Consider the following 26,212-nt stretch of genomic DNA (forward strand, 5'->3'; position numbering starts at 1 on the left):
ACAACCTTTGCCTCCGGAGTTCAAGTGATTCTCCTGCCTCAGCCTCACGAGTAGTTGGGATCACAGGCACCTACCACCATGCCCAGCTAATTTTTGTACTTTTAGTAGAAACAGGGTTTTACCATGTTGGCCAGGCTGGACTAGAACTCCTGACCCCAGGCAATCTGCCCGCCTCAGCCTCCCAAAGTGCTGGGATTACAGGAGTGAGCCACCTAGCCCAACCCCGGCATGGTTTTATTTATTTACTTAATTATATACTTTACTTATAGATACTATAATTTGAATGTCATAATTTTCATGTATCATGAAATATTATTTTCATTTTGCTTTTTTCAACAACTTAAGAAATGTAAGTTCTAGCAGGGTGCAGTGGCTCATGCCTGTAATCCCAGCACTTTGGGAGGCGAAGGTGGAGCCCAGGAGTTCAAGAACAGCATAGTGAATATAGTGAGACCCTTTCTCTACCAAAAAAAAAAAAAAAAAAAAAATTAGCCAGATGTGGTAGCACATGCCTATGGTCCCGGCTACTTGGGCAGCTGATGTAGGAGGACCACTTTAGCCTGAGAGGATGAGGCTGCAGTGAGTCGTGATTGTACCACTGTACTCCAGCCTGGGTGACAGAGTGAGATCGTTTGTTAAAAAAAAAAAAAAAAGTAAGTTCTTAACAGGTTGTACAGAACACACGGGGCAGGCCAAATTTGGCCCACAGGTGAACAGAGCTGATGTGGGGAAACACGAAGCATGTTTGTGGCTAATCAGTGAGGAGAAATGGCTGAAAGTCTGTGTGTGTGGCTTTTGTGCAGAGCCACAACCCATACTGATCCCTATAACTTCAGGAATTGCAGCCTAGGTTTGAGATTTGACCTTCCAACAAACTGTGGACTCATAATTCTGATTGTGATCTGTTTCCCGGGTATAGACTGGTTTGCGAATAACCAGGAATTAAGTTGGAAAGTAGGATTGCTCTGGGACTGACTTGAAGAGGGCTGCCATGTATCCTACAGGATAAATTGCATAGAACTGTGATGGTTGGCAATCAATCAAACTCATTATACCACGTGTGGGTGGAAGACTGCTGCAGGTGGGCAGGTGAAGCCACGCAAATATTGGTATTTCTCCTTGAGGTCCTGATCTTTTCTTGTATTTTGCTGCTTCTACTACTCCAGGAAGCATACTTTCAGCATGAAATGCAATACTGTATTGAGTCATGTACGCAGACATCATGTTTAAACCAGGCAGTAATTTGGAACTCAAGTTTTCTTTCTTTTTTTTTTTTTCTCCTTGTGTTTTCTTCTGCATGATCCTGGGAGATCGTCTCCAAATGAAAACATTAATAAAGATGATTGTGATTACTGATTGTTTAGATTTGTTTTTAGGTGGGAAGGAACATAGCTATATTAAGATTAGCTTAAGTAATAAAGTCTACCATATGTTTACATGTGGAAAGTAAAAAAATACAAACTACTGAAAGCCAAATTGCCTAGACAAACAGGATCTGCAGTAGAGCTGGGCCTCATGAAGATGGACTGGTCAGGAACAGGGAATGAATCAGAATATAGGGCAGCTCTGGTGACTGGGATATTTTGTTGTCCCTATCAGAAGAAGACATCATTTGGTCCAAATTGTGTGTTGCCTTGTTATGGTAACTCAATAGGTCTCCATCTCTGCTTCTTCCAGTACTCCTGTGACTGACAGACCAATTTTTTTTTTTTTTTTTTGAGATGGAGTTTTGCTCTTGTTGCCCAGGCTGGAGTGCAGTGGTGCGATCTTAGCTCACTGCAACCTCCACCTCCTGGGTTCAAGCGATTTTCCTGCCTCAGCCTCCTGAGTAGCTGGAATTACAGACACGTGCCACCATGCCCAGCTACTTTTTTGTATTTTTAGTAGAGATAGGGTTTCATCACGTTGGCCAGGCTGGTTTCGATCTCCCAACCTCAGGTGATCCACCCACCTCAGCCTCCCAATGTGGAGGGATTACAGGCGTGAGCCACTGTGCCCAGCCGCTTTTTGTTTTTTTATGTATCTCTTTGGTTTGGTTGGTCACCTTCCGTAGAATGGCTCACACTGCCTCTTGTAGGGGATTGTGGCCATTTTCATCAAATAATTTTTCTGATTCCACAGTCATCCATACTTGGCAATCTAAGCTTATGATCCTTGTTCTCAAATTTCCGACACATCTTTTTTAAGACTCTTTATTTATGCTACTACTAATAATACAGTATGGATGATGATGTTTATTATTATTTGTTGGATACCTCCCATGTTTAAGAGCTTTACAAGTGTTAATTTATTCAATTCTTGTTGAGGTAGATATGAATATCCTTATTTTATAGAAGAGGCAACTAAGTTCAGAGAGTTTAATTTGAATTTGGCACAAGGCCATATTTCCAGTAGATGGAAAAGTCAGGATTCAAATCCAGTGTATTTTTTTTAATACCTATGCTCTTTCTACTCCACTATATCATGATGTCTCTCTAAAGGACATACCAGGATTTAATCAGAGAATACTTTGTTTAAAGGCGTGTATATTTACCAGATAAAACACTGGGTCCCTCCAGTGAAGCCTTTCTCTAGCACCCATTAGCAATATGATGCTCAAATATCTTTTTTTTCCCCTGTCCCATGTCTTGCCTTGTCTTTTATTTTTATTTGTTTATTTATTTTTGAGACAGTCTCACCTGTTGCCCAGGCTGGAGTGCAGTGGCGCGATCTCAGTGCACTGCAACCTCCGCCTTCCAGGTTCAAGTGATTCTCCTGCCTCAGCCTCTCAAGTAGCTGGGATTACAGGTGCGCACCATCACACCTGGCTAATTTTGTATTTTTAGTAGAGATGGAGTTTCACTACGCTGGCCAGGCCGGTCTCGAACTCCTGACCTCAGGTAGTCTGTGCGCCTCGGCCTCCCAAAGTGCTGGGAGGTGTAAGCCACCGCGCCCAGCCTGCCTTGTCTTTAATGCAAGAAACAGAATGCGAGTAATCAGAAAGCCCTAGAAGGCATCAGTTAATACAAGATATTAATTTCTTAATTCCAAAAGCACTTGCAAAGAAAAACTTTTAAGGGGGAGGGGAGCAGGGGGATTGAAGCACATCATAATAACTGGAATCCCATGAGTGTGCCAAGTCTCATGAGGCTATTTTTTGAATTTATCCTTTACTTGTTCATTTTTTTCTCTCAAATAATAAGTATTATTTTTCTTTGATATTTCCCCTCAAAGGATAAAACATATGAAATATAAAATATAAACGAACTCTTGTATTGTACAGTTAGAAGTTATAGAACTATCCGGCTGGGTGCGGTGGCTCATGCCTGTAATCCCAGCACTTTGGGAGGCCAAGGCAGGTGGATCACGAGGTCAGGAGTTCAAGACCAGCCTGTCCAAGATGGTGAAACCCCGTCTCTACTGAAAATACAAAAAAAAATTAGCTGGGCGCGGTGGCAGGTGCCTGTAATCCCAGCTACTCAGGAGGCTGAGGCAGGAGAATTGCTGGAATCTGGGTGGCAGAGGTTGCATCGCGCCACTGCACCCCAGCCTGGGCAATAGAGTAAGACTCTGTCTCAAAAACAAAACAAAACCAAAACCAAAACAAAACAAAAAAATGAAACAAAAACAAAAACAAAAAGAAAAAGAAGTTATAGATCTACACACTGATAAACTGCATAAAATCTTGGATAACTCGTGAATATACAAAATATCAGGGCACAGAAAGAAGTAAACCCACTTTATTTTTGTCACACATAAGATTCAAATATTCAATCTGAAGAAAAGCAATCATTTTTGCTGTGTTCTAGGTTGCATGTTGATACATTTATTAAAATATTCCTGCATAATCACATTTGGTATTACTATTTCAAGTCAGATATAAAACTTCAAAATCTGCCATCCAGACAAAATGGGTAATCAGAAAGATTATCTCTGCCCCACCTCCCTAACCTCGATAAGTATAAACTCAATTTTATGACATGACTCCAAACCCTAGATTGTGATGACAAATGCTAGGTCCGATTTCTTTATAATCCTTTTCGGGGTGGCATACTTGATAGAACTCAAGCATAGAAGTCTGCATTGGTCCTCCAAACCAAATTGCATATTGCTCTACGTGGTGTGTAATGACTTGTACATCAATAGCTTCTGGCTTCAATCTACTGCTACTTAATTCCTCACTTAAGGTCAGCCTGACATCTACAGTTCTTTTCATATCTCATTGCAAGTGATGTACAAAGTCCCTGAACACAGTTGAACCTCCATAGACAACAATATTCTTGTTGAGAGGATGTCTCACATCAATAGGACAATTCTGAATTACTTCATCTGCAACATCTGAGATGGGATGTATAAAGTCTGGATTAGCAAACCTGGTTGAGAAAAGATTTCAGGTCCCAAGAATCTCTCATGTCCAATATCGATGGAAAATTATTTATTTGAGATGGCATTGATTCTTATACACTGTTTAAATCCACTGCGACCCATCTGCACCTTACTTTTTAAATTCTTTTACTAAATCTGAGCTAACATAACTATAGTGATCCTCTACTGCCTTAGCAGTTTCCAGGGATTGCTCTGGAGGGATTCCTACTTCTTGGTCTCTCAGTAGTTGCTGAGTAAGATATGTTATAGCTCATCCTGCAATTGGAATGTGTTTAATACAGCTGCCAATCACATACCCTTCAGGCGCGGAAATGCCATGAGTGACACCGTTTCAACTTGTCTATAACCTACCAGTCAACATGTATTCTCCTATTTGTCTTGTGGTCCAGGATGTAGCTACAGCAAGAACAACCTGCACAGCAATGTACAAACCTGAACATTGAAGGACCCAAACACTATTTCAGGAATATATTCCCTGCTTTCTGGAGTATTCAGCGGAGGTCCAGTCAAAAGAAAATAATGGTCTTCAGGTTCTGCCCTTAAATATTTAAAGATCACTTGCTCTATAAAGCTTTCCATTGAGTTCCAATCTTTAACTAGACCATGATGGATGGGCTCTTTGTTGTATATGTAGATTTTCCAATGCTTCATCGCCAGTAAAGACGTCTAGGTCATCAGCATGTTTCATCACCCTCCTTTTGAACTTGACCACCCACTTTTGTTGAGTTTTTTTTTTCATGGATGAATAATTTATTGGTAGAATAATACAGAGTTTACCTTCAATTCTATATCTGTTTTGTTGAGTTGTTAATGGCAGTACAGGAAGGGATGGTAAACGGAGATTCTTTATTTTGGACATATCCTGGTTTTGTATACCTGGTACCACAGTCTGCTATGTAGGCTGTCAGCTGTCAGGTCATCTTTCCTCCTTTTATCCTGCTGCTGCTGCTGCAGCGGCTGCCACTTGCTCCATGCTGGTAGGGGCCAGAAATTGGCAGTGGGAGATGGGGCATCTGACCATCCACAGCTGAGCTGCCTTCTCTGTGGGGGGTGGGTGGGATGGGGATCTGTGAAGGCAAAGCAATAGCAAGAAAGCATCAGGCTCAGTCAGCACTATTCACCACCCAGCACTATCCACAACCCAGGCAGGCAGGCCATACCTCCCCTGTCCCACTGTGGCCTCCTCATCCTCTCCCTTCCCTCCTCGTCACTCCTGCTCCCACCCTACAACTTGGTGTCCTTGTGCTGCTTTTCCCCAGGTAGCCAAGATGCCCAGGCACCCTAAATACCTTTGAAATGGTTAGAGTGTGCATCAGTTATTTTCACCTAGTGTGGCTCAGTTTAATCAGTTCCTTAGTAATGCTACTTGAGATCCTGCCAGTAAGATGGAAGCCATTTTAGTATGGATGAAAGGAAAAAGGGAAGGAAAAGAAAAGAACTGGGGAAGGGAGGAGGTTTCACTTGAAGTAGGTTTCAGAAAGGAAATTGTATATATTATGGGACCAGGTTTGTATGTGGCAACCAGAGTGTGTGTGAGGAGGTACTTTATGAAGTGGGATATGAATAGGTGCAGGTTTATATATCATTTTAAAAGTTGTTCACACCTTGGTCTAGTTTCATGTTGAAGCTAGCTGAGTCCCTGCTGGCAGCTCTGTTCCACAAAAGTCATGCTGTATTCTACAAAAATATGTTTATTGATGAAATTTGTAATGATACATATACTCCTAAAAGAGTAGTTAGGTCTTATGGATTAAACTTACATATGAACCCAAGATCTCACAGCCTTAACAGCATCTCATTTCCACTGACAAGAACAATAAGGTTTTCCAGCTTAGGTGCTATATAAAACACATGTCCCTTAACTCTGGTTTCTATCTAACATTATTTTATTTATGTCACAATTGGCAATTTAAACAAAAGTAGCTGCTCCAACCTTAATAAATTATTGTAGGTCTATGAGTTGGGATTTCTGGCTTCCAAAGGGTGACATAGAAGCAAGCTGGGGCCGGGCGCGATGGCTTACACCTGTAATCCCAGCACTTTGGGAGGCCGAGGCGGGTGGATCACAAGGTCAGGAGTTCGAGACCAGCCTGGCCAACATGGTGAAACCCTGCCTCTACTAAAATACAAAAATTAGCTGGGTGTGGTGGTGCATGCCTGTAATCCCAGCTACTCAGGAGGCTGAGGCAAGAGAATCGTGTGAACCTGGAAGGTGGAGGTTGCAGTGAGCCAGTGAGCCGAGATTGTGCCATTGCACTCCGGCCTAGGGGACAGGGCAAGACTGTGTCTCAAAAACAAAACAAAACAAAACAAAACAAAACAAAACAAAACAAAACAAAACAAGCAAGCTGGCTTCATTCCTCCCCATAAAAAACCAAAACTCAAACATGAGATGAGACTGTTCCCAGGGTCACAGAGAAATGAAAAAATTTTGAGCTGATGGTAAGATAATTGGACTTACATATCTGCAGTGCCCCACCCCATAATCTGCCCAGCACCAAGTACACAAAAATTTTCCCTTGGCTCACAATATTTACATTGAAAAAGGTGAGATTGAGGTGGACAACCTGCTTCCCCACCATCTTGGGTTCCCTGGCAGGAGACCTGTTCCATAAGAAACATCACGAGTGCCTGAAAGGAGAAATATTCCTGAGGACAGCCAGCGACAAAGGCAGGAGGTGGGACTACCATCCCCAGCCCTGGAAACTGTGCTCTGTAACTGGGCCAAATCAGAGTGGCTGTTCAACAGCACCATGTTGAGGTTTGTTCCACACCCCCTGGGTATGTGCCCTTAACCAGCCTTCCCACATTACTGAGATATCTCATTTAAGACTTCTTCAATTCAGAATAAGGGGCATTCTGATTGTTCACTAAGGCAAACCTGGACTTAAGATGCCATTTAGTACTGAAAAGGACACAGTGGCCTAGTGGGAAAAAAAAGCAAGAAAATCAACAGGTAAATTATAAACAATCTCTAAACAAACATATCTAATGAAACCAAAACAAGCCAGACAGAGAAGACTAGAATAAATAACTAATCCTTCAGTGAAAAGACATAGATGTACATCCACAAGAAACAACAGCAATCATGGAACATGACCTCCTTAAACTCATAAAACAAGGAACCAGTGACTAACCCTAATAAGATGGCAATATGTGAACTCTCTGGCTAAGAATTCAAAATAACAGCTTTAAAGAAACTCAGTCCAATACAGAAAAGGACCTCAGAAACTTATCAGAGAAATTTAACAAAGAGATTAAAATAATAAAAAAAGAAACATATATTAAAACTGAGAAATATTTTTTTTTAAACTGAAAAATTCATTAGAGACTGTCAACAGTGGAATGGATCAAGCAGAAGAAAGCATCAGTGACCTTTAAGGCAGGTTATTTGCAAAAACATAGAGGAGAAAAAGGAGCAAAATGAAAAGGAAGAAAGATCACCCACAAGATACAGAAAGTTAGTTAAAAAGACCAAATCTTAGAATTATTGGTGTTCAAGAGGGAGTTGAGCAAGGGCAAAGAGTAGAAAGCTTGTTCAAAGAACTAGTAACAGAAAACATTCCAAAACTTGAGAAAGAGATAAATATCCAGGTATGGCAAGGTCAGAGAACACCATGTTAAATACAGTGAGTTCTAAATTTCTCTTCAAAGAATCAGTATATCAGTATGTTCAGTTCTTCGTTCTCCATTTTGAAGTTTAACTTCCTCATTCTCCTTGTCTGCTTGCCCGAAGTTTCAGTAAACAACCTTTCCCAGCAGTTCTAATCAGTAGTTCACATCTATTCCCCTGGTTACCTGCTCTGTCCTGAGTCACCCCTGGTCACCTGCTCTGACCTGAGTCACCCCTGGTCACCGGCTTGATCTGAGTCACCTTTAATCACCTGTTCCTAACTATCCTTCCCACCAAACTACTCACCCTGCCACCCTGGCTCGTACCCCTGCTCTTTAAAACAGCCAATCAGAATTAGCTTAGACTGTGTGGTCCAACCCTATCCAATAGGGGAATGACCCAGCAGTAGGGGCTACCTGCATCAGGGATAAGAACCCCTTCCCCTCCCTTGTTCAGGTGTGCTCTCGCCATTGCTCCATCCATGAGATGCACCCTTCTACAGAAGTAAAATTGCCTTGCTGAGAAAATTTATGTTGGAGTGCTATTTCTTTTGTGGCACCAAAAATTTATTTCCAACAACCAAACAGATTTGAATCAAATAAGATCACCCCAAGGCATATAATAATCAAACTCTCAAAGGTCAAGGACAAAAAGAAGATCCTAAAAGCATCAAGAGAAAAGAAGCAAATAACATATAAAAGAACTCTGATTCATCTGGTGACAAAGTTCTCAACAGAAACCATATAGGCCAGGAGGGAAAGGGACAACATTTTCAACATGCTGAAAGAAAAAAAAAACCTGCCATCTGAGAATACTGTATTCAGCAAAGCTACCCTTCAAATATGAAGATGAGATAAAGCTTTCCCCAGACAACAAAAGATGAGAGAATGCATCACCATGAGGCCCACAAGAAATGCCAAAGGGAATTCTTCAATTTGAAAGAAAAAAAGAAGCACTAATGTGCAAAAAGAAAACATTAGAGGCCAGATGTGGTGGCTCATGCCTGTAATCCCAGCACTTTGGGAGGCCAAGGTGGGCAGATTACCTGAGGTCGGGAGTTTGAGACCAGCCTGGCCAACATGGAGAAGACCTGTCTCTACTAAAAACAATATAAAATTAGCTGGGCATGGTGGTGTATGCCTGTAATCCCAGCTACTCAGGAGGCTGAGGCAGGAGAATCACTTGACCCCAGAAGGTGGAGGTTGCAGTAAGCTGAGATTGTGCCATTGCACTCCAGCGTGGGCAACAAGAGCAAAACTCTGTCTCAAAAAGAAAAAAAGGAAAAAAAGGAAAACATTCGAAAGTATCAAACCCATTAGTAAAATAAAGTACATGGACACACCTAGAATACTCTAATACTGTAATTGTAGTGTGTAATATACTCATAACTCTAGTATGAGGCCCAAAAGGCTATCTATTAAAAACAATAATAGCTGCCAGGCATGGTGGCTGACGCCTGTAATCCCAGCACTGTGGAAAGTCAAGATGGGTGGATCACCTGAGGTCAGGAATTTGAGATCAGCCTGGCCAGCATGGTGAAACCCCATCTCTAATAAAAATACAAAAATTAGCCAGATGTGGGGGCGTGCACCTGTACTCCCAGCTACTTTGGGAGGCTGAGGCAGGAGAATCGCTTGAATCCGAGAGGCAAAGCTTTCAGTGAGCAGAGATTGCACCAGTGCACTCCAGCCTGGGCGACCGAATCAGACTCCATCTCAAAAAGCAAACAAACAAAACAAAACAAAAAAACAATAATAGCCGCAGCAACCTGTTAGGAGGTACGCAATATAAAAATGTTTTTTTTTCTTTTTCTTTTTCTTTTTTTTTTTTGAGATGGAGTCTTGCTCTGTCACCAGGCTGGAGTGCAGTGGCACCATCTTGGCTCACTGCATCCTCCGTCTCCTGGGTTCAAGTGATTCTCCTGCCTCAGACTTCCGAGTAGCTGGGAATACAGACATGCGCTGCCACGCCCAACTGATTTTTGTATTTTTAGTAGAGATGGGGTTTCACCATGTTGGCCAGGCTGGTATCGAACTCCTGATCTCAAGTGGTCCACCCACCTTGGCCTCCCAAAGTGTTGGAATTACAGGCGTGAGCCACCACATTCAGCAAAAATATGTAAATTGAGACAACATAAAATCAAAATATGGGGGGATGGAGTTGAAGTACAGAGTTTCTGTTTTCATATTTCTTTATTTCTTTTTTTTAAATTTTTAAAAGTTTTTTTACTTTTTTTTTTTTAGACAGAGTCTCGCTCTGTTGTACAGGCTGGAGTGCAGTGGCACGATCTCAGCTCACTGCAACCTCCGCCTCCCGGGTTCAAGCAGTTCCCTGCCTCAGCCTCCGGAGTAGCTGGGATTACAGGCTCCCACCACCACGCCTGGTTAATTTTTGTATTTTTAATAGAGACAGGGTTTCACCATATTGTTCAGGCTGGTCTTGAACTCCAGACCTCGTGATCCACCCACTTTGGTCTCCCAAAGTGCTGGGATTACAGGTGTGAGCCACCGCGCCCGACGTCATTTTTCTTTATTTCTGTTCTATTCATGATGTAAGATACATTGTCACCTCCTTAAAATAACTTGTTATATCTATATTTTTTGTAAGCCTCATGGTAACCACTATGTAAAAACGTATAATAGATTCATTAAGAATAAAAAGCAATGATTTAAAACATACTGCCAGAGAAAATAAATCAAAGGAGGACAGTAAGAAAGGAAGAAGAGAAGAGTTATAAAACAACCAAAAAAACGAGCAACAAAATGGCAGTAGTAAGTTTTTACATATCAATAGCACTAAATGTAAACAAACTCAATTCTTCAATTAAAAGGCATAAAGTGGCTTAATAAACAAAGAAATAAGACCCAACTTATAAAGACACACATAGAATGAATGTGAAGGGGTGGAAAAAGATATTCCATGCAACTAGAAAAAAAAAGGGGAGGAGTAGCTATATTTATGTCAGATAAAGTAGACTACAACTCAAAAACTATAAAAAGATACACTATATAAATACACTACAAATCAAAAACTGCAAAAAGAGACACCATAACTGTAAAAAGGTCACTATATAATGATTAAGGGGTCAATTCAGAAAGAGGATATAACAATTATAAATATCTATGCATCCAATGTGATAATTCCCAAGTATATAAACAAACATTAATAAATTTGAAGCAAGAGAGAGACAGCAATACAATAATAGCAGAGGACTTCAGCACCACGCTGTCAGCAATGGACAGATCATCCAGTCAGAAAATCAACAAAGAAACATCAGAGTTAAGCTACACACTGGACCGAATATGTCTAACTGACATTTATAGAACATTTCACTCAACTGCTGCAGGATGTACATTTTTGTTTGCGTTAGCACATGGAACATTCTCCAGAATAGACCATATCTTAGGCCACAAAACAAGTCTTAACAAGTTCAAAAAAGTAGAAATTATATCGAGTATCACATTGATCAAGTACCACATTGATCGAGTATCACATTGATCAAGTACCACATTGATCAAGTATCACATTGGTCAGAAAAGAAGTCAATAATAAGAGAAATCTTGAAAAATACACAAACACATGGAAATTAAACAATAAGCTCCTGAACGACCAGTGGGTCAGTGAAAAAATTAAGAAGTTAAAAAATTTCTTGAAACGAATGAAAATAGAAATACAGAATCCCCAAATCTATGGGATACAGGACAAGAAGAACTAAGAGGGAAGTTTGCAGCAATAAATGCCTTTATCAAAAAGGTAGAATGTCTTCAAATACGCTGGGGGTGGTGACTCTTGCCTGTAATCCTAGCACTTTGGGAGGCCAAGGCAGGAGTATTACTTGAGGTCAGGAGTTCAATACCAGCCTGGGCAACATAGCGAGACCCCATCTCTACAAAAAATAAAGAATATTGTCTGGGCATAATGGCATGCACTTGTAGTCTTAGCTACCCAAGAGGCTGAGGTGATAGGATGGCTTGAGCCCACAAGATCAAGGCTGCAGTGAGCTGTGATTGTGCCACTGCACTCTAGCATGGGTGACAGAGTGAGACCCTGTTTCAAAAAAGAAAAGAAAACAAGATTTCAAATAAACAACCTAATGATGCACCTCAAGGAACTAGAAAAGCAAGAATAACCAAAACCTAAAATTAATATAGGAAGAAAAAATATAAAAGCAGAATTAAATGGGATTGAGATGAAGAAAACAAGGCTAGGTATGGTGGCTTATGCTTATAATCCCAGTGCTAGGAGGCTGAGGTGGGAGGATTCTGTGAGGCCAGAATTTGAAACCACCCTCCACAACATAATTAGACTCCTGTCTCTACAAAAAATAAAATAAAAATATTAGCCAGGCATGGGGCAATGCACCTGTAATTCTAGCTACTTGGGAAACTGACACAGGAGGATCCCTTGAGCCCAGGAGTTTGAAGTTACAGTGGGCTGTGATTGTGCCACTGTACTCCAACCTGGGTGACAAAGTAAAACCCTGTCTCTAAAAAGAAAAAAATCCGGGCGCGGTGGCTCACACCCGTAATCCCAGCACTTTGGGAAGCAGAGGCAGGCGGATCATGAGGTCGGGAGATCGAGACCATCCAGGCTAACACAGTGAAACCCTGTCTCTACTAAAAATACAAAAAATTAGCAGGGCATGGTGGCGGGCGCCTGTAGTCCCAGCTACTCGGGAGGCTGAGGCAGGAGAATGGCATGAACCCGGGTGGCAGAGCTTGCAGTGAGCCGAGATTGTGCCACTGCACTCCAGCCTGGGCGACAGAGCGAGACTCCGTCTCAAAAAAAAGAAAAAAAAAAGAAAAAAAAGAAAAAAATGAAAAACAACAACACAGATGATCAACAAAATAAAAGTTTGTTTTTTTGAAAACATAAACAAAATTAACAAACCTTTAGCTAGACCAACTAAGAAAAAAAAGGAGAGAAAACCCAAGTAAATAAAATCAGAAATGAAAAAGGAGATGTAACAACTGAGACCACAGAACTACAAAGTATCATTAAAGACTATTATGAATAATTATATGCAGACAAATTGGAAAAGCTAGAAGAAATGGATACATTCCTGGACACATACAACGTACCAAGATTGAACCATGAAGAAAGAAAACCTCAGACCAGGAGTGATGGCTCATGCCTGTGATCCCAGCGCTTTGGGAGGCTGAGGCAAGCGGATCACCTGAGGTCAGGAGTTCGAGACCATCCTGGCCAACATGGTGAAACCCCACCTTTACTAAAAATACAAAAATTAGCTGGGCATGGTGGTGCGTGCCTGTAATCCCAGCTATTCAGGAGGCTGAGGCAAGAGAATCTCTTATCTCTTGAACTCGGGAGGCAGAGGTTGCAGTGAGCCAAGATCACGCCATTGCACTCCAGCCTAGGTGACAAGAGCGAAACTCTGTCTCAAAAAAAAAAAAAAAAAATAGAAATAGAAAACCCCAACAAAGCAATGACAAGTGATGAGATTGAAACCATAATAAAAAGTTTATCATCAGAGAAAAGTCCAGGATCTGATGCTTCACTGCTGAATTCTACCAAACATTTAAAGAAGAACTAATACCACCTGTACTCAAACTCTTCAAAAAAATTTAAGAGGAAGAAATATTTCCCAACTAATTTTTTTTTTGAGGTGGAATCTTTTGCTCTGTCACCTAGGCTGGAGTGCAGTGGTGCCATATTGGCTCACTGCAACCTCTACCTCTCAGGTTCAAGTGATTCTCCTGTCTCAGCCTCCTGAGTAGCTGGGACTAGAGGCATGCACCACCATACCGGGATAATTTTTGTATTTTTAGTAGAGGCAGGGTTTCACCATTTTGGTCAGGCTGGTCTCGAACTCCTGACCTCAAGTGATGCACCCACCTTGGCCTCCCAAAGTGCTAGGATCACAGGTGTGAGCCACTGTGTCCGGTCCCCAACTCATTTTACAATGCCAGCATTAACCTGATACCAAAACCAGATAAAGATACAACAAATGAAGAAAACTATAGGCTAATATTACTGAAGGACATAGATGCAAAAATTAATTAAAGAGATCATTCATCATGAGCAAGTGGGATTCATCTAGGGATGCAAGAATGGTTCAAAATACACAAATTAGGCTGGGTGCGGTGGCTCACGCCTGTAATCCCAACCCTTTGGGAGGCCAAGGGTGGGTGGATCACTTGAGGTCAGGAGTTTGAGACCAGCCTGGCCACCATGGTGAAACCTTATCTCTACTAAGAATACAAAAATTAGCTAGGTGTGGCGGCACACACCTGTAATCCCAGCTACTTAGGAGGCTGAGGCAGGAGAATCACTTGATCCCAGGAGGCGGAGGTTGCAGTGAGCTGAGATCGCACCACTGCACCCCAGCCTGTGTGACAGAGGGAGAATCTGTCTCAAAAAAACAAAACAAAACAAAACAAAAAAACAAAAACTAAAAGACACGAAAACCCAAAAACAATTCCCTCACAAATCAATAAATGCGATGTATGCCATTAGCAGAACCAAAACCAGCATCCATATGATCACTTCAATAGATGCTAAAAAAATTAGATAAAATTTAACATCACTCTATGATAAAAACCCTCAACTAACTAGGTATAGAAAAAAGATACCTTAAAATAATAAAGGCCGTATATGACAAACCCACAGTCAACAACCTACTGAATGGGGAAAGATTGAAAGTCTTTCCTCTAAGATCTGGAACAAGATAAGGACAACCATTTTCACCACTTTTATTCAGTGTAATACTGGAAGTCCTGGCTGGAGCAATTAGGCAAGAGAGAGAAATAAAGAGCATCCAAATTGGAAAGAAAGAGGGCAAATTAGCCTTGTTCGCAGATGACATGATCTTGTACTTAGAAAAATCTGAAGATTCCACCAAAAACTGTTAGCACGGATAAACAAATTCAGAAAAGTTGCAGGATATAAAATCAACATGCAAAAATTAGTAGCACTTATTTACACCAATAGTGAACAATCTGAAAAAGACATCAAGAAAGCAATCCCATTTATGGTAGCTACAAATAATATAAAATACTTAGGAATTAATTTAACCAAAGAAATGAAAGATCTACACAAGGAAAACTATAAAACACTGATGAAAGAAATTGAAGAGGACACAAAAATGGAAAGATGTTCCATGCTCATGGATCAGAAGAATTAATTTTTTTTTTTTTTGAGATGGAGTTTCACTCTTGTTGCCCAGGCTGGAGTGCAATGGTGCGATCTCGGCTCACTGCAACCTCTGCTTCTCGGGTTCAAGCGATTCTCCTGCCTCAGCCTCCCGAGTAGCTGGGATTACAGGTGCGCACCACCACGCCTGGCTAATTTTTTGTATTTTTAGTAGAGACAGCGTTTCACTATGGCCAGGCTGGTCTTGAACTTCTGACCTCAGGTGATCCGACTGCCTTGGCCTTCCAGAGTGCTGGGATTACAGGGGTGAGCCACTGCACCAGGCCAAGAATTAATACTTTTTAAAATGTCAATATTACCCAAAGCAATGTACAGATATCATACAATATCTATCAAAATATCAATGACATTCTTCACAGAAATAGAAAAACAACTCTAAAATTAATATGGAACCACAAAAGACCCTGAATAGCCAAAGTAATCCTGAGGAAACAGAGCAAAGGTGGAGGTATCACACTACCAGACTTCAAAGCATACTACAAAGCTATAATAACCAAATCATAGTGTTGGCATAAAAACAGACATATAGATCAGTGGAACATAATAAGGAACTCAGATATCAATCCAAGCATACAGCCAAGTCACTTTCAACAAAGGCACCAAGAACATATGATGGGAAAAGGATAGTCCTTTAATAAATGGTGCTGGGAAAACTAGATAACCAAATGCAGGAGAATGAAGCTGGATCACTATCTCTCACCACGTACAAAAATCAAATAAAAATGGACAAAAGACTTAAATGTAAGATCTGAAACTATGAAACTCCTACAAGAAGTTATTGAGTGATGCTCCAGGACATTGATCTGGACAAAGACTTTTTGTGTAGGACTTCAATAATACAGGCAACCAGAGCAAAAATGCACAAATGGGATGGTAGCAGTTGAAAAGCTTCTGGATAGCAAAGGGAACAATAAACAAAGTGAAGAGACAATTCACAGAATGGGAGAAAATATTTGCAATCTATCCATCTGAAAACGGGTAAATAATCAGAATACATAGGGAGCTCAAACAACTCAATAACAAAAAACCCCATATAATCCAATTAAAAAGTGGGCAAAAGATCTGAATGGATATTTTCCAAAAGAAGACACACAAATGGCCAATAGTTATATAAAAAATGTGCAACAACTTTAATCTTCAGAAAAATGCAAACCAAAACTACAACGAAATATCATCTCACCCTAGTTACAATGCTTTTATCAAAAAGACAGGGAGTAATGAATATTGGCAAGAATGTGGAGAGAGGGAAACCCTTGTACATTGTTAGTGAGAAGGTAAATTGGTAGAAGCATTATGGAAAACTGCATGGAGGTTCCTCAAAAAACTAAAAAAAGAATTCTCATATGATCCAGCAGTTCCACTAATTGGATATATACCCAAAAGAAAGGAAATCAATATATTGAAGTAATATCTACACTCCCATGTTTGTTGTAGCACTATTTATAATAGCCAAAATATGGAATCAACCTAAGTGCTCATCAATAGATGAATGGGTAATGAAAATGTGGCATATATACACAACAACATAATATTCAGCCTCCCCTCCGCCCCCCACACAAATCCTGTCATTTGCAGCATGGATGGAACTGGAGGCCATTATGTTAAGTGAAATAAGCCAAGCACAGAAAGACAAATATTGCATGTTCTCACTCATATGTGGGAGCTGAAAAAGTGGATCCCATAAATATAGGGAGTGGATTGGTGGAAGGCAAGAAGTAGGTGGGGATGAAGAGAGGTTGATTAATGGGTACAAATATACTATTTGGTAGACAAAGTAACACCTAATGTTTGATAGATTAGTAGTGTGACTATAGTTTATCATAAACTATTGTATATTTCAAAGTCACTATAAAATAATAATTCAAATGTTTCTGGCATAAAGAAAATACAAACATTTAAGTTGATGGACATCTCAATTACACTGATTTGATATTTACAAATTATGTGAATGTATTAAACTACCACATGAACCCTGAAAAAAAATATATCTATTATGTATTGGTGAAAAATATTGGCTTTGAGAAAAAATAAATTACTGTAGACTCAGAAGTTGTCTTAAGTGGCTTCTCTTATAGGAGAAGATATAGATATATCTTGTAATCTCACCGTAACAGTTTTTTCTCATAAATAATTTTTTTTCTTTTAAGACAGGGTCTCTCTGTTGCCCAGGCTGGAGTGTAGTGACACGATTATGTTTCACGGAAGCCTTCACCTTCTAGGCTCAAGTGATTCTCCTGCCTCGGCCTCTCAAGCTGCAGGGACTACAGGTGTACACCACTATGTCTGGCTATTTTTTTTTTTTTTTGAGAGGGGGTCTCACTCTGTCACCCAGGCTGGAGTGCAGTGGTGCAATCTCTGCTCACTGCAAGCTCCACCTCCAGGGTTCACGCCATTCTCCTGCCTCAGCCTCCCAAGTAACTGGGACTAGAGGCACCTGCCACCATGCCTGGCTAATTATTTTTTTTGTATTTTTAGTAGAGACAGGGTTTCACTGTGTTAGCCAGGATGGTTTCGATCTACTGACCTTGTGATCCACCCACCTCGGCCTCCCAAAGTGCTGGGATTACAGGCGTGAGCCACTGCACCCGGCCTATTTTATTTTATTTTACTTTTTAATTAGTAGAGATGAGGTCTTGCTATATTGTCCAGGCTGGTCATAAAGGCATTTAACAAAATTGATGTTCATATTTATTCCAGTTGTCTCAGAGATATATACATATATATATATATATATATATTTTTTTTTTTTTTTTTTTTTTTTTCTGAGTCTTTGACTTGATCTATTATTTAAAATTAGGCCAACATGATCTCTCACATACAGATGAATAAAAAACTGTTGGCAAATGAAATAACACATTTACCTTGTCCTTCATTTTTCTGGAAGGAGCGATTGACCCTGCTCTTATATTGTTCCATACTTGAGTCTTCTGAAATGTTTTCTTTTTCCTCCAGGTAAGACCAGGATAGGTCACAGAGGAAAACACAAGGGTTATTTACATCCGCCTGGCCTGGTCAGAAGACATTGCATGATTTACTCAGTGACCTACTGAATGACTGACCAGCTGGCTTCTAGATCTTTGTCTACTTGGCTTGTGATAACTAACCAAAAGTTTTTCTGGATGCTTTGGACAATTTAGATGCAGTTCAAAAGACTTTCCTGGTGCTGTTTTTGTTTGTTTGTTTGTTCATATTCTAGAGATGGGATCTTGCTTGGTTGCCTAGGCTGGTCCTGAATTCCTGGCCTCAAGCTCTCCTCCCAGCCTCAAGTAGTTGGGATTACAGACATGAGCCACCGTGCTCAGCCCTGGTGCTGTTTTAATTTAAAAAATTGTTGATTGGGTAAAGTATTAGGATGAGGTAACAAAGTAACTCGACAATAAATCAGTGGATTAAAAACTGCTCTAACAAAGTAACCCAACAATAAATCACTGGATTAAAGAAGCTAAAGTTTTATTTCCCTCTAACTTAAAATTCTGAGGTGAGTGATCCAGGTTGGTTCTCTACTTGCTCAGAAGTTGCTCCTTGTGGGTCCCCATCATGTGCCTTTTCCAGCTTAGAGCAGAAAAAGAATGTGGAAAAATTCATGTGCCAGTTTTTTTTTTTTTTTTTTTTTGAGATGGAGTCTTGTTCTGTTGCCCAGGCTGGAGAGCAGTGGCATGATCTTGGCTCACTGCAACTTCTGCCTCCAGGGTTCAAACGATTCTCTTGCCTCAGCCTCCCGAGTAGCTGGGATTACAGGCATGCGCCACGACGCCCGGCTAATTTTCATATTTTTAGTAGAGATGGGGTTTCACCATTTTGGCCAGGCTGGTCTTGAACTCCTGACCTCTGGTGATCCACCTGCCTTGACCTTCCAAAGTGCTGGGATTACAGATGTGAGCCACTGTGCCTGGTCATGTGCCAGTTTTGAGGGCCTTATGTGTATATGTAAGTGGAAGTATCTCACATGTACAGCCTTCTCATATTCAATTTGGGAAAACTTAGATATATGACTAGATCTGGCTGCAACAGACACTGAGAAATATCCACAGAAGAGCAGCCACATTCTAGCTACAGCCTTCTAACTAGGGAAGGAGAGAATGGATTTTTGTGGACACCCAGCCATCTCCTCTATAAGTGGATACTAGTAGATATTGGGGAAAAGGAGGCTACAACATAAACATCAATAAAACATACTTTCCTGGCCGAGCACGGTGGCTCACACCTGTAATCCCAGCGCTTTGAGATGCAAAGTGATAAACAGAGCAAGACTCCATCTCAAAGAAAAAAAAAATGCTTTCCTTTCTCTAGAAACTCCAATCTAAGCTATAATATAGTCCAGCCAAAGAAAAGTACTATTATAAAATTTGAAGGCCCACTGGAATACAAGGAGGAGGATATAACTTATGAGTGGAAGAATAAGAAAACTTCTTGTAGGAATAAAGATTTTTCTTGGACCTCAAAGTTAGCATAAAACATCAGTTTACCAATATGGAGGAGGAAGGCTATTTCAGATATGAGAATAACTCAAGCAAAGGCTCAGAGGCGGGGAAGTATAATGTTTAAGGAATGACAGGTAAATTAATGGGGCCGGAAGAGAAAAGGGAGGTAGAGATATGTTGGGAGATGAGGTATGTTGGTACCAGATTGTGGGGAACTTTGAATTCCAAGCTAATAGGTATGGGCTTTATTTATATGCAGTGGAAAGCCAGTAAATATTTATAGGGACAGGAAATAAAATATTTAGTTGTATGTTTCAGAAAGAAAACTCCGGTAGTTGTATGGAGGAAAGTGGAGGTGACAAGGAGACCACTTAAGAAGCCAGAGAGACATTTCTGAGGCAGGGTGAACAGGATTTGATGAATTACTACATGGAGAAAAGTGAGGGGCTGAAAGGAAACACAGATGAGCCACACAGAGATTCTAACTAAGTACCTGGAAGGATGGATTTGCCTTGATGTGAGCAAAGCAATTCTGATGCCTAGAGGCTTGGGAAGTTAGGAGCAAAGCAAATGAATGTAGGACAGTATTATGTTGGCTTTCCCCAAATTTGCTTGGAATAATTTCCCCTCCTTCTAGAAGAAAACATCAATTTCTCAGAGTCAACATATGTGCTTTCTCTTGAGAGCTGGGTCAGAAAAGGGTAAAACAGCTATGGATAACTTCTTGAGGTTGAATATAGCACCAGAAGCCTCTTTCTAGTAGAATTATGTTCATTTCCGCTGAAACTAACATCTATTTATTGAACATTTGTCACGTGCAGCAGTAGCTGAAGAGAGTGGTAGCGATGGTTATGTGGCTGTAGTTACTTATTTTCCCACCCAAGTAATAACCAGGCCCGACCCTGCTTAGGTTCTGAGATCAGACGAGATCGGGCGTGTTCAGGGTGGTATGGCCGTAGATAGTTACTTATTTTCATTCAGTCCCTTGACCTGCTGTTATCCTCTTCAGGGCAGACTTCACTTCCTGGTTCCTCAGTGTATAGATGAGGGGGTTCAGTAATGGAGTGACAACAGTGTAAAACACAGCTGCTGCCCCATCCAGGGGGCCTTTGGAGCCAGCCCTAAGGTAGATGAAAATACAGGGGACATAGTAGACTGTGACCACGATTAGGTGGGAGCCACAGGTGGAGAAGGCCCGGCGCCTCCCATCAGTGGTGCGTATCTTCAGGATGGCATTTACTATGTTGGCATACGAGAGCAGAATTAACATGAAGCAACTGGCGGCCACTACCCCGATGTCCACAAAGGTCACAAGCTCATTGACAGTTGTGTCAGCACAGGCCAGTCTCAATACTGCGGGGATGTCACAGATAAAGTAATCTACCTGATTGGGCCCACAGTAGGGCAGGCGGAAGGTCAGGGTGGCCTGGATAGACCCATGCATGGAGCCAGCGACCCAAGCTCCAGCCACAAGGACTGTGCATAACCTCCCATTCATGAGCACTGGGTAGCGCAGGGGCTGACATATTGCCAGGTACTGTCATAGGCCATCAAGGTGTAGAGGAAGCACTGGGTGCTGCCCAGGAAGTGAAAGAAATACAGTTGAGCCACACAGCCACCAAACGGGATAGCCTTGTTGGCAGGAGTGAAGTTTAAAATAATTCAAGGAACGATGACTGAGGAGAGCCACATGTCCAGGAATGAGAGCACTCCCAGAAGAATGTACATGGGGCGAGCACGGAGCTTCGGGTCAGCCCACACGGTGAGCAGAATGAGCAGGTTCCCCAGCTGAGTGAGGATGTAAATGACGAAGAAGACCAGGAAGAGGAGGCTTCTTAGATTCGGGGGGTGAGACAAACCCAGAAGAATGAAATCTCTCACCACGGTGTCCAGCGATGTGTTTTTGGTCTTTCCCATGTCTTTTTGCAGTCTGCTAAGATGAATGGTGAAGTCTGATAAGGAAAATGCAGGTGTGGAGTGATAACAGAATGCTTTTGTCTAATGATCAGAATTTGAGAGGTAAACAGAAGTCTTCTATATTTTAAATAGAAAGCATTTGCCATCAGTCACCTGGGTTTGCTTGGCAAAACAACCTTCAGAGCTGTTTAGTCTCTAGGTGCCCTGAAATGCCTCTTTAATAGGGGATACGACATACAGGTATTAGAAACCAAGCACAGGATTGTGTCTGAATAATAGTGTAAGTGCATATGATAGGTCTACGCCCCCAAAGGGGACCACAGAGAAATAGATTTTGGTGATATGAAGCAGTGTGGAACTATTACCCCACAATTATCATTCCTATTGTTGGTTTATGACTTAATATCCTTGAAATGTCTCCTCCTGAGATCTACAAGAAACTTTGTGATCTGGTTCTTGCATATTTCAATAATCTTTGTTTTAGTTCTCTCAGATCACCATACCCTCCTTCCTCTGGACTTAGGAGTATGCTGATTGATCTAATATGTCTTCATTCCTCTGTCACCTCCTTGGAAAGAATTATCCTCCACTAGAAGACAATTTTCTGGGAAATAAGAACTTATATTAAAGGGTGATTACAGTACATTATTATAAGAGCTATTTGCTTAAGTACTTACCGTTTCCTTCTACTAGATTTTAAGATCCTTCAGAGCAAAGAGCACTCTATTTTGTTCTTTGATGTATTTGCAGCAACTACTCTGGTGCTTGGCAATAATAAGTTAATAAATATTTGTTGGTTGACTGGCTAAGTGGATAGTGTCAACTCCTACTAATCCTGTATCATGTTTCCCTCCATGATCACATCTCTCATGCTTTTTCCATATAGTCAAGACTGTAGGACAGGGCCTGCACTTCAAGCAATGTGAGCCTATGCTCAGTGTAAACAAAGTCTAAGGTACCATTTGTACCTTCTGTTTGCTCTGGAATGTTATTTACATTTATTAATTGACCTAAGTAGTTTAGTAGTTTTGTTCATTTGGATGATAACAGCATTGATTATTATTATTATTATTATTTATTTTTTGAGATGAAGTTTCGCTCCTGTTGCCCAGGCTGGAGCGCAATGGCGCAATCTCAGCTCACTGCAACCTCCACCTCCCACGTTCAAGCAATTCTCCTGCCTCAGCCTCCCGAGTAGCTGGGATTACAGGCATGTGCCACGATGCCTGGCTAATTTTTGTATTTTTAGTAGAAGCGGGGTTTCTCCATGTTGGTTAGGCTGGTCTTGAACTCCCCACCTCAGGTGATCCACCTGCCTCAGCCTCCCAGAGTACTGGGATTACAGGCATGAGCCACTGAGCCCGGCCACAGCATTGATTATTATAGGATTTGTCTTTTAGTACATTGTTATTTTAATAGTTTTTGTTTGTCTTCCAACAAAAAGGATTTCAAAAAGCCTTCAAAGGTATTAAACATCTAAGCCAGATGTTATTTAAAAACTCCCTTTGGCTGGGCGCAGTGGCTCACACCTGTAATCCCAGCACTGTTGGAGGCTGAGGCAGGCGAATCACTTGAGGCCAGGAGTTCAAGACCAGCCCTGGCCAACATGGCAAAACCTTGTCTCTATTAAAAATACAAAAATTAGCCCGGTATGGTGGTGCATGTCTGTAATCCCAGCTACTCAGGAGGCTGAAGCACGAGAATCGAGACTCACCTGAGCCTGAAAGGTGGAGGTTGCAGTGAGCCAAGATCAGGCCACTGCACTCCAGCCTGGGCCACAGAGAGAGACTAGGTCTTGAAACAAAACAAAACAGAAAAACTGTCTTTGATAAATGGTTTGTTCAAAAAAGAATGTTTTAGGTATTTTTACCCATTGCTTAAACTAAAATATCTTACAGTTCTTTTTTGTTGTTGTTTGTTGTTTTTTTAAAATAAATTTTATTATATATATTCAAAGTATGCAACATGGTGTTATGAAATATATAGATAGTAAAATGATTACTACAGTGAAGTAAGTTAACATATTCATCATCTCACGTAGTTACCCATTTTATTGGGTGGCAAGAGCAGCTAAAATTTAGTCATTTAGCAAAAAATCCTAAATATACAATATTATTAACTATAGTCCTCATGTTGTACATTAGAGCTTTAGACTTGTTCATTCTGTGTACTTGCTACTTTGTGTCCTTTAAGAAACAAAAATTAAACTAGTAAGAAATTAATTATACAAAGATCTGAGCATTAACAGTTATAACCACAGGGATGCCATTAGAAAAATTCCCTTTTATAAATGTCAGACTCAAACATATTTTATCTTCATTATTATTTAAAAGGAATTAAGTGCATATAATTATTAATAATACTGCATTTGTACTAATTATTAATAATAATGCATTTATACTAATTATACAGTCCATAGAAATAAGTACAGACTTTGTCCACAAATCTCTTTATTAGAGTATATTAGATTTTTATTACCTTATTTTCAGAAGGAAGGATAATTTCTTTTGGGATGGGTGGATGGTACTTTCTTTGTCTAGAATGGAAAGAAATGGCAAAGTTTGAGCACTTGTATATGATACTAATTATGAGCAAAATTTATATTCTACCAGTGAGAGGAGATACATACTAGAGGAGATATATACTATAAATGTGAGTCTACTTTAGACAAATAATTTTTTTTTTTAAATGGAGTCTCCCTCTGTCCCCCAGGCTGGAGTGCAGTGGCACCATCTCAGCTCACTGCAACCTCTGCCTCCTGGGTTCAAGTGATTCTCCTGCCTCAGCCTCCCCAGTAGCTGGGACTACAAGCAGGTGCCACCACACCTGGCTAATTTTTGTATTTTCAGTAGAGATGGGGTTTCACCATATTGGCCAGGCTGGTTTTGAATTCCTGTCCTTAAGTGATCCACCCGCCTCAGCCTCCCAAAGTGCTGGGATTACAGGTGTGAACCACCGTGCCTGGCCAAATTATTTTTGAAAACTTTTTATAAAAATCAAAATTTCACAAATTAAATCATATTAGAATTATACTAAAATGTCAACCATTTGGATGTTCATACATAACGAACATAATAAATCCTTATGCATAATGAAAAATGTTATCTTTCTTCGGCCAGGCACGGTGGCTCACGCCTGTAATCCCAGCACTTTGAAGGCCGAGGTGGGCGGATCACGAGGTCAGGAGATCGATACCACCCTGGCTAACATGGTGAAAACCCATCTCTACTAAAAAAAAAAAAAAAAAAAAAATTAGCTGGGCATGGTGGTGTGTGCCTGTAGTCCCAGCTACTTGGGAGGCTGAGGCAGGAGAATCTCTTTAACGTGGGAGGTGGAGGTTGCAGTGAGCCGAGATCGTGCCACTGCACTGCAGCTTGGGCAACAGAGAGAGACTCTGTCTCAGGAAAAAAAAAAAAAAAGGAAAATGTTATCTTTCTTCACCAATCTGAGTTTTTCCCTGGCTGTGGTGCATAAATATGGGTACACTTTCCCAAATCCTCTGCTGAGAGAAGGTTCCTTCTACCCTCACCCTGCTTTCCTATCTGGCCCTGGGCATCCTGGTTGGCAGGACAGGGACTCTGGTGGTGCTCACAGTAGGTGAGTATAAGGGCAAGGCTCCTTTTCCAGGCAGAGGCAGCAGAAGATGGTGATTTTGATGTGGTGTAATGGGGTTGCAGAGGAAGGCAGACTGTGGGAAGGTGGGTAGAGGAGAATTTCAGAAGGAGGAATCTCTGTAGGGCAGGGAGCATGTTTGCAGAAGGACCAAGTCATTCTAAGAGAGAGAGTGTGGTTTTAGAAGAGAGAAGTCTTTTTTTTTTTTTTTTTGTTCTGGAGAAAAATGGGCCAGCCTAGAAAAATACAAAAGAAGAAAACTGATCAAATGTTTTCCTTCCTAACGTAAATGTGATATTTTATTATGAGCCTACTAATCTTTTGAAGCTGTAGAGTCTTAGGCTTCTTATATTGAGGAGTGAAGGAAACTTAGATGTATCAATTAAAAAAAAGTTGAAGTATCTACATCTTGGCTAATTTGTTACATATTCTAAAATTTCTTATTTTAAATAGTATTTAGTATTGTTAAGGTCATCTTATTAAATGGTTGTAATTTAATATCAAAATATATGATTAAAGAAAATAAGAATCTACCACTGATAGATTCAGCATTTAAAACAGCAAATAATTAGGGGCAGGGGCTTTGGTCCAGAAATTCAAGGGAGGGGGTCCTAGGGATGGAATGAAGGAGGTTAGCATTGAGAGAGCATGGTAAGGAAGGGATGAGATAGGGTTAGGTAGGAAACCATAGGATGGGCTAAGTATTGTGCTCTTCTTTACTAGGAGGCCAATTCATGTTGAACGCTTTGCAGGCAGTAGCATTTTTCACTTTGTAAAAAGTCAGATTATCCCAGAGAAAAATTGGTTTCTTTCTGGCATGTCTGCACCGAACTGGGGTTCCTACAGGGCACTTTTGAGTTGGTGCCATCCCCATTTAGAGCAGATGTGAATCGCTGAGGCTGAGAGATGAGGACTGACCCAGCGTTGAGTTGTTCACTCTTGTTTGCTTTTAGGGCCAGACTTGACCACAGCCCTTTTAGGCCATTAGGCAGCCTGAGCAAAGAGTTGAAGCAAGGAGAATGAATAGAGTTTGGGTACAGTGGGGAGGCAGAGCTCATATTTTCTTGCTCTGATTATTCTGCCAGTGTTCTTGTATTCTTAGTTAAAACAA

The 26,212-nt window shown here is 40.9% G+C and overlaps 2 pseudogenes, besides 1 other annotated feature; both read right to left on the reverse strand.

The window, feature by feature from the left end:
* Nucleotides 1–3,752: 3,752 nt before the first annotated feature.
* On the reverse strand, nt 3,753–5,090 carry ACTR3P1 (ACTR3 pseudogene 1; annotated as a pseudogene).
* Nucleotides 7,482–8,681: an enhancer, noted in NCBI's record as "BRD4-independent group 4 enhancer chr14:22056937-22058136 (GRCh37/hg19 assembly coordinates)". NCBI's record gives its function as "activates an origin of replication core promoter dependent on BRD2, P300/CBP, MED14 and CDK7 cofactors, and independent of BRD4, by STARR-seq in HCT116 cells {active_cell/tissue: HCT116}" and the evidence as "EXISTENCE:reporter gene assay evidence [ECO:0000049][PMID:35650434]".
* On the reverse strand, nt 20,384–21,578 carry OR10G1P (olfactory receptor family 10 subfamily G member 1 pseudogene; annotated as a pseudogene).

The sequence above is a fragment of the Homo sapiens genome, chromosome 14 (assembly GCF_000001405.40).
Source record: "Homo sapiens chromosome 14, GRCh38.p14 Primary Assembly".
NCBI classification, from domain to species: Eukaryota; Metazoa; Chordata; class Mammalia; order Primates; family Hominidae; genus Homo; species Homo sapiens.